General features: G+C 40.4%; 1 long non-coding RNA gene across 1 annotated transcript in view; it reads right to left on the bottom strand.

Annotated features, from left to right (window-relative positions):
- Positions 1 to 13,033, bottom strand: part of SLC7A14-AS1 (SLC7A14 antisense RNA 1) — a 287,921-nt gene that overhangs the window by 46,547 nt on the left and 228,341 nt on the right. The window contains exon 3 of the long non-coding RNA NR_135556.1: positions 465 to 615. This is a non-coding gene — a long non-coding RNA (SLC7A14 antisense RNA 1). The remainder of the gene's footprint in view (positions 1 to 464; positions 616 to 13,033) is intronic.

Genomic DNA, 13,033 nt, shown 5'->3' with positions numbered 1-13,033 from the left:
GTGTGATCACAGATCACTGCAGCCTCGACCCCCACAGGCTCAAGTGATCCTCCCACCTCAGGCCCCTGAGTAGCTGGGACTACAGGCATGCACCACTATACCAGCTGATTTTTAAAACTTTTTGTAGAGACAGAATCTCACTACATTGCCCAAGCTAGTCTCAAACTTCTGGTCTCGAGCCACCCTCCCACCTCAGCCTCCCAATGTGCTGGGATTACAGGCATACGCCACCACACCCAGCCTTATTATTTTGCTCTTTAGAGATAAGATATCCAAACTTCAAAAATATTGTTAATTTGGTACAAGTTAAATCTCAGAAATTTTGGAAACAATCGCCTTCTGTAATATATGTAAAATATTATACACAGTGTCTGGCATACAGTTAGTGCTAAATAAAAGTTTTTCCCTCCCTTCTTCCTCCTCACTTACCTCATTGCCAGGGGCCATTTGGGAAAGAACCCTACCTTCTCATCCTTCCTGCATTGGCGTTCCCATTCCATTCCCATTCCTAATCTCCCTGAAGATACGAAAAATCTTCAAGATATTTCTGCTTAAATTGCACCAGGTGCTGAGAATGCAGAGATGACTCAGTCTTTGCCCAAAGAAGCTGACAGCCTAGAGGGGGAGAAAGGCATGAAAACCTTTAACAAACTCAGTCAGACACTCACCTGTCTGTATCTAATTCTATGGTTTTCTGTTACATTATGCTGTGATCATCTCACCTGGCTAGCTCTCCACTGGTTTTCTTCTTCCTTGGACCACTGTCTGATGAATGGGGTCAGCCCTTATAAATTATGCCTGCCTCACACAGCCCTTCAAACTAAACTGCAGAAGAGTAATAGCTACATGGCTAGGCTTAATAGAGGCCTTAAACAGGCTTTCTAAATGAAGGAGAATCTGTTCTTGAACAGGGAGATAGTTTTAAAAGTAAGTATTTGTGTAGCAAAGACACCTACCTACTCACAATTTGGATTTTAGGAAACAATTTTTCTCACTTCTTTTCATTTTTACCCATCAAACCTTCCATTTAATAAGTACATATGGAGTGCCTGCCTTGGACCAGGCACTGTGTAGGGTTAAGATGAGTTGAACATGGTGCCTGCCCTCAAAGAGTTCACAGCCAAGGAGAGAAGAAAGGCAACTCAACAGGAAATGAGAAGGGAGTGTGATGAAGGTAATGACAGAGTCATGCACATGGAGCTTCAGAAATACAGAGGAGATTCACTTCAATCAATTTGGTAACACTTGTTCCTTCACAATGTCTCCCTGGCCAAGTTAATCTCCATTACTGTAAGAGCAGTGATCCTGGCACAGAGAATAAGAAGGTTATTTTTCCTGATTCCAATTTGGCTCCCAGGAAAGTGGAAGTGGTATGTCTTAAAGTTTGCATTCTTACTGCTAAAGCAGTTAAGGTTATTAAGATATTGGTCTCAGTCTGACAGTCTTCTGGACTCTGTATTCAACATCCCTGAGAACATCTCAGGATGCACATCTCAAAAAATGGCAGCAGGACTGTCAATGGCATAGTCAGAGCTCCTCCCAATAAAGTCTGGGTTTAGAACTGGTTTTGTCCACACTGAACAGAAACTTATCCCCTCATATTTCCACTCTTGGTCCATTGGTATCCCACTAACACTTGGTGTGCATCATCACCTCTTTGCTTTTTGCACCTCCAAGCTGGATTAGACATTTTCATTTCCCTCTAATTCTTTCTCTCTCCCGACATCCCACTTTTTTTTTTTTTTTTTTTTTTTTTTTTTTTTTTTTTTGAGGCAGGGTCTCACTCTGTCACCAGGCTGCGTGCAGTTCAGTGTCACCATCAAGGCTCACTGCAGCTTTGACCTCCTGGGCTCAGGTGGTCCCCCTACATCAACGTGTTGAGTAGCTGAGACCACACAGGAGCACTCCACCATGCCTGGCTAATTTTTGTATTTTTTGTAGAGAGGGGGTTTTGCCATGTTTCCTGACCTTCTAATTCTCTTTTTTAAAGGTGTGTCCTCTAACTCTTTATTCTCGTATCAGGACGGATGAGCTGCGGGGCCAAGGAGACTCTCTCACCTGATTCCAGTTCAGAGAACTAAGAGATATGGCATGTCCTTTCTTGGGTTCTACCACTGCTATTTCTAAAGTAAGAAGTTTTGTAGTGCTAGGGGTAAATATGGGGTTGGAAGAAAAGACCTAGGCCAGGTGCTGTGGCTCACGCCTGTAATCCCAGCACTTTGGGAGGCCAAGGTGGGTGGATCACCTTAGGTAAAGAGTTTGAGACCATCCTGGGCCAACATGGTGAAACCCTGTCTCTACTAAAAATACAAAAAAAAAAAAAAATTAGCTGAGCGTGGTGGCACGTGCCTATAATACCAGCTACCTCAGAGACTGAGACAGGAGAATCGCTTGAACCCAGGAGGCGGAGGTTGCAGTGAGTGATCGTGCCACTGCACTCCAGCCTGGGCAACTCCATCTCAAAAAAAAAAAAGAAAAGAAAAGAAAAAAGAAAAGAAAAGAAAAGAAAAGACCCAGTAAACGCCCTGGAACCTGTGGCAGAGTGGAAGGTAGGGGAGACCAGAACATGAAAGTGGGCCTGGTGTGGCCAGAGCTAAAAGTTAGGAGGTAGTCTTATCAACCAAGCCAAACTCAGCCTAAGATGGAGAGATTAAAAGTGCTTAAAAATATATTAATTTCTTAAAATAACATTTAAACAGGCCGGGTGCAGTGGCTCATGCCTGTAATCCCAGCACTTTGGGAGGCCGAGGCAGGCGGATCATGAGGTCAGCAGATCGAGGCCATCCTGGCTTACATGGTGAAACCCCATCTCTAAAAAATACAAAAAATTAGCAGGGCATGGTGTCAGGTGCCTGTAGTCCCAGCTACTCGGGAGGCTGAGGCAGGAGAATTGCTTGAACCCAGGAGGCGGAGGTTGCAGTGAGCTGAGATCATGCCACTGCACTCCAGCCTGGGCGACGGAGCAAGATTCTGACTCAAAGAAAAAAAAAAAACTTTTAAACATAAATAGAAATCAAGTTTAAAATATTTTATGCTTTGACACAGACAGTTGTTTTAAAAATTGTTTGGCAATTATGAAATTTTTGGTAATGTTTTACAAATTATTGGAGTTGCTGGAAACATCACTAGGGTTTTAAGGGAGAGCTATTTATGAAAGTAGGGGCGCTTCAAGCTTCAAGCTTGTCATAAACAGCTCCTCCTTAAAACTTTAGGTGAGAGTAAGAGCTTCTCAAAAACTTTTTTTTCTTATTGAAAAAAGATTTTACATTACTGTGTGATTCAGAAGTGTTGCTTCTGCTTTTGCCTTGTTGGGGAAAGGGAGAGACGCCGCTCCCAGGAGGGGAGGAGAAAGACGCTGTGTTTTTCTCCCTCTACTCACAGTTCTTCTTCAGTTCAATGAATGACAACGAGACTAAAATAACAGAGCAATAAAAGCAACTATGTATTGCTACAAAAACAACTATCTTACTTCATTGCAGAGTTAAGCTCTTTATAAGCCTAGAGACTTCCATAGCAAATCAAAGAGGGACAAAATTAACATGTTTGCATGGCTTTTTTTTTATATGAACAGACACTTCTCAAAAGAAGACATTTATGTGGCCAAGAAACACATGAATAAAAGCTCATCATCACTGGTCATTAGAGAAATGCAAATCAAAACCACAATGAGATACCATTTCACACTAGTTAGAATGGCAATCGTTAAAAAGTTAGAAAACAACAGATGCTGGAAAGGATGTGGAGAAATAGGAACGCTTTTACACTGTTGGTGGGGGTGTAAATTAGTTCAACCATTGTGGAAGACAGTGCGGTGATTCCTCAAGGATCCAGAACTACAAATACCATTTGACCCAGCAATCCCATTACTGGGTATATAACCAAAGGATTATAAATCATTCTACTATAAAGACTCATGCACACGTATGTTTATTACAACACTATTCACAATAGCAAAGACTTGGAACCAACCCAAATGCCCATCAATGACAGACTGGATAAAGAAAATGTGGCACATATACACCATGGAATACTATGCAGCTATAAAAAATGAGTTCATGTCCTTTGTAGGGACATGGATGAAGCTGGAAACCATCATTCTCAGCAAACTAACACAAGAATAGAAAACCAAACACTGCATGTTCCCACTCATAAGTGGGAGTTGAATAATGAGAACATATGGGCACAGGGAGAGGAACATCACACGCTGGGGCCTGTCGGGGGTGGGGTGGGGGCTAGGGGAGGGATAGCATTAGGAGAAATACCTAATGTAGAAGACGGGTTGATGGGTGCAGCAAACCACCATGGCACATGTATACCTATGTAACAAACCCGCATGTTTTACGCATGTATCCCAGAACTTAAAATATAACTTAAAGAAAAAAGAACTGAAAGAAAATGTAGAAAAGTACCTTAGCAGTTTCTATGAACCATAACTGATGAGGTTTAATGAATAACGTGCTAAAAACATACATAGATGTTTATTTCTGTAAATCTCGCTCTATAAGAGTAGTGTTCTCTAATGTTCTTATACCTATTTTCAAAATGTCATATTTTACAAGATGATAACTGGGTAGAAAAGTGGGGTTTTTTGTTTTTTTTGTTTTTTTTCAGTTCACTTGCCTGCTATACAGATTCTCTGACCAAAACTAAAGTACCTCAAGTGACTTCAAGTCAGGATATACAAATTGCAGGAACACTCCATAATGGGTTTGGGATTAGCACATTCTTAAGTAATGAATTTGCAAACTTAAATATAAAATGGCAAGGGGTACTCAGTAAATGCCTATCTGAATAATAATATGTCAAACTTACAGTGATCAAAACATCTTAATGATTGAACAAAAACCATTCTCTTTGAGCTCTGAAGGCAGTAAACATGAATAAAAGTCTTGCCAAAAATTATTTTGGAGGCCAAATGGTGGCTTCTATGGTATTAATTGTCAGAGTTGAAATCAAAGTCAAAGCCACCTGTGAGAAAAATGAAATTTCTCAACCCTGAGAATGATAGTGTAATTTTTTTTTTCCTGAGGTATGTGTAGATAATTCAAAACTGTAAGCTGGGTTTACCCTTTGGAATCACATATCTTGAAAGAGGCTAGATCACAAGAAAGCCATTCACTGCTCTCTTCCCTTCATGGGCACTGGCCTTTGGAACCCAGCCACCATGCTGTGAGGAAGCCCAAATAAGCCCAGGCAGAGAGACCACATTGGGAGGCCCCATATAGGTGTTCTGGCCAACTGAGCCCAGCAGAGACCCTAATCTACAGTATCCACTGCCAGACATGTTGAGTGGAGATACCTCCAGATGACCCCAGCACCAAGCTGTTGAATCTTTACAGCTAAAAAGCCCCAGACATGTGGAGCAGAAGTTAGCCGTCCTTGCCATGCACTGTCTGAATGACTCACAGGATCTATGAGTATTATCAGATGATTGTTCCATCCAGCTTAGTTCTGGGGTGGTTTCTCACATAGCAATAGTAACTGCAAAAATATCTTGAAGTCTCCCAGTCCAGAGAAGCTCTGTTATAGTATCTTGAGAACAAATCTCCAGTCTTAATTCAGGATAGAAGAGAAGCAAATGCCGGCCATTTGGACTCAGAATCTAACAACTTCTTTAATGTACTTTCAGTTATGCTTATCCTTAATCACACACATACTCCCACTTCCAGAGGTCTTGGTGCCATCAATTCCTAAGACTTTTGAGGGGTCCGCTAAATTTTTTCTCACCTTCCCCTTATGCCAGCTCAGGATCCCACTTTCTTTGCCTCTAAGGTCATTGCTTTAGTTCCCCAGCTTCCACAATTTTGTTGCTGTAGTCTTCTCTTCCATTTCTTTTTCCTGAGAGTTTATGCTTTAAAAAATCATCATATTGATGTACTAATTGAATTTGTGGAGGAAATGGGATTAAATGAACATGTTCAATTTACTGTCTCCAATTAGAATTTTACCTAGCACTTGTATATCTTTTCTGGATGCTATGACTCTGTTTTCTTTTATTTTTTAATTAAAATCAATTACTCAAGAGCGCTGGATGCAAGAAGGCTTGTGCTTTATTGAAAACAGCAACAGCAACAAAAATCTTTACACTCACTATCTTTTTCAAATCTTTTAGTTCTTTGAGGTTTGTCCAAACACATGTGAGTCTGAAATCTCCCCCTTTCTCTAATTCCAAACATCATCAAAGAGCTTTTGTGTATGGTCTGTGTTGCATATTCATAAGAAGTTTTAAAAACACAGACTCATTTCTGAAGGAGAAGACAACTTAAAGATAGAAAACAATGTAGAGAAAACACCAAGACTGTCAAAGAGCATGCCATAATTGTAAATAATAAGTAGATTGGATAAAAGATTTACAGACTGAATGAGCTAAAGGTAGAGTAGGTGGTGTAGGCCATGGTGTCAAGAAAGTTAGAGGTTTTTTTGCTGTGGTCACAGCTGTTACCACTTAACAGGACCTCTGACATGTCCCTTTTCCCCTGCAGACAGGGCCTTGGAGACTGCTGTTTCTGCTGTTGGACTCTTCAGAAATGGGAGACTCTCCCTCTCCTGTTCTCTGTCTTTGCAGAAAAGAAAACACTTCTCCCTGGGGTACAATGTCCCCCAACCTCTCAGCTGAGTCACAGCCTTTCTGTTACTTGCTGCAGGTCTTCCTCATTGTCTCAGCCATTGGATGGCTGCAAAGGGCTACCCAGAGAAACCATTCTCCACAGTTAACCAGTTAACCAGCACTTCCATTCCCTACTTCTAGACCTGCTAGTATTGGACAGCCATTCTGCTATTTCCCTACCACATTCTGACTCATTCCAAACTCGAATTCTTCTCTATGTGGGAGCCTCTCTTTCTCATTCTCTTTGGGGGAAAAAAAAATTATATATATATATGTAAAATATATACTCTTTTTGTCGTTTTAAAAGGATCGGGTAGCCTGAAGTAGCTTTGTATGTGATAACCCTAGCCAATGAATGATCAAGCATCCTGTGATCATGTGAAAACCATGCCTATTAATTCACAAGTGTTTTCTTTAATAGATATGAGGTTGGTAGTCCTTAGAAGAATTGTATATGTTCAAGTATTTAGTTTTTTAAAGTAAGCTTGAAATTTCTCTAAGTGTAACCTTAAACTAGTGTCATTTATTTTAAAATAGTATATAAAGCTTTTTTTTTTTTTTTTTGAGATGGAGTTTCGCTCTTGTTGCCCAGGCTGGAGTGCAATGGCGCGATCTCGGCTTATCACAACCTCCATCTCCCAGGTACAAGTGATTCTCCTGTCTCAGCCTCCCAAGTAGCTTGGATTACAGGCATGCGCCACCATGCCCGGCTAATTTTTTTTGTATTTTGTAGAGACGGGGGTTTCACCATGTTAGTCAGGCTGGTCACAAACTCCTGACCTCAGGTGATCCACCTGCCTCAGCCTCCCAAAGTGCTGGTATTACAGGCATGAACCACCATGGCCGGCCACATTTTTATACACCAAATAAACAGTATATAAAAGCATTTTTGAAATTATATGCCTCTGACAATTATCTGTGCAAATACTTTCATGCATATTAGGGTATTTATTTGTTTAATCAAGTCTAAATAACTTAAGGAATATGAAAATAGTTAAAACGCCAAAGAAGAAATGCTTAAGTGAGAAACAAATGGGCTAATGGACAAAATGAAACTAACACTATGAAGACAAAGAAGGACACATATCAGAAACAAGAAAGAGTGAAATGCCAAAAGACTAATGAAATAGAAGCATCTAATGAGATCCCTAACAAACCATAGTGAAGATAAAAGAATGTGATAGGAAATGTGTTGACTTTCTGTAAACTTTCACGTTGGCCTCACATCACACATGTCTCTTATTTCATCTGACACAACTGCACTTCTCAGAGGCAGACAAGGCAGTTCTCTATACATTTCACACTTTTACAGTCACCATCAACAAATTAAAGAAGCATATTTATTAAATAGAATATGCTATACCTTTAAAACCTATTTTTATTCATAGTTATGCGCTAACCTCAATAATTGAACCTCCTGTGATCCCAGCACTTTGGGAGGCCAAGGCAGTTGGATCACTTGAGGCCTGGAGTTTGAGACCAGCCTGGCCAACATAGCAAAACCCCATCTCTACTAAAAAATACAAAAATTATCCAGGCGTGGTGGTGCATGCCTGTAATCCCAGCTACTCAGGAGGCTGAGGCAGAAGAATCACTTGAAACTGGGAGGCGGAGGTTGCAATGACCTGAGATCACACCACTGCAATCCAGCCTGTGTGACAGAGTAAGACTCCATCTCAAAAAAACAAAGCAAACAAAAAAAAGAACCCATTTAATATAATGGCTAAGAAAACAGATTGTACAACATTATGTTTAAGTGACAAATATAAGTAAATAATTACAATTTAATGATATTTTTATTAATACATTTAAAATCCTTTGGTTCAGGTTACTCCAAAGAAAATGTGATAATTTTCAAGTAAACCATAACAGTTCTTTTTAAATTCTCTCCTAATTCCCATTCCTTCTCTTCAGAGGCAACCACTGTTAGGTACTTAATTCATTATGTAATTAGGCGTATGTACTTCCAGTCTTTTTCTATGCATTTTAATATGGATTGGCTGTGTCCCCACCCAGATCTCATCTTGAATTGTAGTTCCCATAATCCCTACGTGTCGTGGGAGGGACTCAGTGGGAGGTAATTGAATCATGAGTGTGGTTTCCCCCATGCTATTCTCGTGATAGTGAGTAAGTAAGTTCTCATGAGATCTGATGGTTTTATAACGGGCTTGCACCTTTATTCTCTCATTCTCTCTCCTGCCACCATGTGAAAAAGGACTTGTTTGTTTCCCCTTCCACCATGATTGTAAGTTTCCTGAGGCCTTTCCAGCCATACTGAAATGTGAGTCAATTAATCCTCTTTCCCTTATAAATTACCCAGTCTCAGGCATGTCTTTATTAGCAGAGTGAGAACAGACTAATACATATTTACACACCTATGAGTATATATACACTTGTGGTGGGCAGAATAAAAACCTCCCAAAGATGTCTACATGCTATGCCCTGGAATTGTGAATATAGTAGATTATATAGCACAGGGCAGTTAAAGTGGCTAATCAGCTGACTTTAGAGAGAGACATGAACCTGGATTATCTGTGTGAGCCCAGTGCAGTCACGGGAGTTCTTAAATGTGTAAGAGGGAGGGAGGAGAACCAATGTCAGAGTGACGCAATGTGAGAAAGACTTGAGTGGCTGTTGCTGGCTTTAAAGATGGAGGAAAGGGCCAGGAGCTAAGGAATACAGACAGCCTCTAGAAGCTGGAAAAGATAAGAAAACAATTTTTCCCCCGCAGCCTCCAGAAAGCAATAAAACCATGCCAGCATTTTAATTTTAGCCTAGTGAGACTTACTTAGGACTTCTGGCCTAAGATACTGACAGTGGGAATTGCTTAATAAATGGCCTACCCAGTTTATCCAACAGTGATGTTCGGAATAAATAAGCTCTATGCAGATACACAGTTTCTAATCAGCTCTTTTCTCCATTTATAATCATGAGCAAATAGACAAAGATCCACAGATATCTGAAGAAAGCCTTATACATGAAAAATAGAAAACAATGTTTTAAAAAAGCTTGGAGTAGTCAAATCTGTTAGTCTTCTCCTGTAGGGCTTCTGGATTTTTGTGAATTGATAAGCAAAACCTGCCCTCTTTTTCCATCAAGATACTAAGGTTGTTTTCTATATTTTCTTTCAGTTCTTATAATGTTTTAGGTTTTCATTTTTAGCCCTTGCTTTATAACCCTTTTACCCATAATAAGCCTGGGCTGATGGTCTCAGCCTTCTATAGTATATACAGATTATCAGTGCCTTTATATCATGATCTCTCCCATCCTGAGGGGTTCTAGCCCTCAAGGTTTTGTGATAAGGAGTGAGTAATAATTACAAAACTAATTTGTAAAAATAAAGTTTAAAAAATTATAAAGCACTACTCAAATATAAAGTTTTAGAATGCTGATGATGATGATTACCAATATTTCCCACAGCTCTATTCTTTGCCAATTATTTGCAGGCACTTCTTTCTCATCATCTCATCTCTGTATTTCTGACTTCCCTTTTGTTTCTGCCTCATCGGTCATGTCCCCAGAATTCCCAATAAGGAATTCTATATCACCTGGGAAGATGGACTCTGCATCACCAGAAACAGGCCTGAGCAGCACAAAAATCTCGGAGTTCTCATAATGTCTCTAGCATCACCATTTAGAGCAACCTGGATAAAGGCAATTGCTTCACACAGACAAAAGCAAATCATCCTCTGGGCCCCACCTGCTGGGGTTTATTTACCAGGCTGGTATTCCAAACAGAAGCTCCACTCACTTTATCTCTTATTCAGGCTTCAGAGGGTGCCAGACACAGGTGGCAGACACATACCCTACACCATGGCTGAAGTCCTGAGTAAGCTTGTTAATAAAAGTTTCTCCAGCTTCATCTAACAACAGGGGTGTGTTGAATAAAACTCTCAGTCAACTGTTGGCTCTGCCTCCTTGAAAGGAAAGCAGTGAGACAGGAAAGGCATCCAACCGAGATAAAAGCTAAGCTAACAAATGATAGCATTTCTAAAACAAATCATTGGACTTGAATGCCCTGGAATGAAATAGAAGAGGAGGGAGTGTCAGAGAAGAGCACAGGACGAACCCAACCTTTTGGTCAACAGAAGGCAGGGGGCTGACAGAAGACCTTGATATAAGACGTGGGTCTTTCTGACAGTTTTCCCAAGATGCTGCCCGGCCTGTATTATGCTACTCTTCCTGTTTGCCCCATACTTCCTGTCTTCTTCACATGGTGCATGCTGAAAGGACATGTTAGGCTGTCATTCTAGGCTGATAATTATTTTCACTGTTCTGTTTAAGAAAACAGTCTATTGGGGAGAAACACAGAGTTGATGGAGAAGAAATAGCCTCATTGTCTTAGCATGGACAAGGGGTAGTGAGAAATGATGAACAAATGTGATGATGGAAAGGTTTGGATGGTGGAGACAAGATCATGCCCAGGCCTCTTAGGTCACAGTCTTGCTCCTACATCAAGGCGATCTCTGAGTCGCTGTGCTGTAAAAGCATAGCTAGGCCACTGGAGAGTGCAGAGGGAAACCATCCCAATCCATGCTTTCTTAGTACCTTCTTTGTGCTAGGCATTATGCTATCTTGGAAAGGGCATAAAGATAAGCAAGACATCCTTGTGCCCCCAGAGGCACATCACTCAGCAGAGGTAAAGGAAAACAGGAACATGTGACTCATTTGAAGAGTGTCAGCAGGATTTGGTGATTGTCTTCAATAAAACTCTTTTGGTTTCAAGGATGAACTTGACCTAACCTTCGCATGGGGGTGGGTATCACAGGTGCTACATCATGGAAAAACCAAGTATTGCAAAGGGCAGTAATACGGTAGAGTCTCAGAGTCAATTGGAACTGAGAACTTGAATGCTGCCATGAACTCTTTTTTCATCTTAAGCAACTGCATCCTTCTTTCCTCTTTACCTGTTGATTATCCTCTACTTCTCTAGTAAAGCATTTGATAGAATTCAGCTATTAGAGAAATTATTTTTGTCCTTTCTTGATTCCAAGTCTAAAAGTCCTAGGTGGAATGTCATTGATCCATCTTGATTTGTGTTCCATCTCTGATCAACCCACAGAAGTGAAGGAACAGCTCCATGTAAGAGCATAGATGCTCTAGTAGGAACCTCGCAACTACCCTCTTCAACTTGGTAAATCCCTATAAGCTTTGCTTCTCATAGTCACTTTAAGCCTTCTGATGTTTATCTGTTTTTTCTGCTTTTCTCACAGAGTCTTATGTCCATTCAGATTCCCCTTTCTCTGCCCAGCTCTTTCAGAATAATGAGCAATTTGAATGATCTGTGTAGTTTGAACCTGCTCTGTGAACACTGGCCATAGGCTCATGATGTCTATCCAGCCCAGGCTCCTGGATGCCAGGCACCATTGCCTAGGCAGTGATATTATGATGTCCATCAAATGACCATGGAGTTACCCAGAACACTGTTTGAAATGTGGGTCTGGAGCTCAAAAGAGCATTTGGATTGAAGGCATTGATTTAGGGGAATTGTGTGCCTGGGGATGACAGCAGAAGTTGTGCAAGCCTATATATCATTACCAAAAAAGAAAATGGTGTGTGAGAAAAGAAAAGAGCCAACGAGGACATGGAGTACCCTATATATAGGCAGAGGAGAAGAAGACTTCATGGGAAAAAAAAAAAGCCAGAAGATGAAGAGTAGGAGGGAATTTGATTGACTTAGAGGACTGACTTGTATTATGCTGCAGGCAACTCTTAGCTATCCAATGGCCAGAAGTGCTAGACTTCAAAGTCCATGATTTCTCTCCATTTTTCTATTTCTAGTCCTCTATTTCACTTCTTGATAACATTACCATTTGGGGCCGAGAAAGCAGATGAATCAATTTCATTTTGCTTCAAACACTAGGCCTGATAAAAAAGAGCTGACTGGATAGGGAAATGGCAAATGTGCAAAGTAAAGATTTTTTTATTTTCTTATTTATGGATTTTTATTCATCCCTTCTAACAGGGCATTAAAATTTTATTTCATTTTATAGTTGCTTAGGATTCTAAGAAACAAACTGACTGCCTTCCAAGTTTAGGAGACCAAGGTATATAAGATTGCTTATTATTGCCTAGAAAGGTCTTTCACTATAGGATACGCTTTTTATGTCATCCTGTTGTCCTTTTATTTACACACTTGGCATTTAAACCATGGCAGGAAATGGACAACCCTACTGAGAAAAATATATGTCTATGTTTGCAATAGCATTCATTGCCTAACTGTTTTGGCCAGTTTCCATGCTTGTGAGTATATTAATAGATATATTAACTGCAAAAGGATATAACCGTCAATTAACATAGATGTTGGAGGTCATAAATGAATAAGTTCTTCTTTTCTCATCAGTGATGTAAAATATTCCTCAAGGTTTTGAAAATCAGATCTTGTGGGTCAGATTATGGTGATTTGTCAGGCAAAGTGCGTGTCCT

This window comes from Homo sapiens, chromosome 3 (genome assembly GCF_000001405.40).
Source record: "Homo sapiens chromosome 3, GRCh38.p14 Primary Assembly".
Classification (NCBI taxonomy): Eukaryota; Metazoa; Chordata; class Mammalia; order Primates; family Hominidae; genus Homo; species Homo sapiens.
This window is presented reverse-complemented; position numbering and strand designations above follow the sequence as displayed.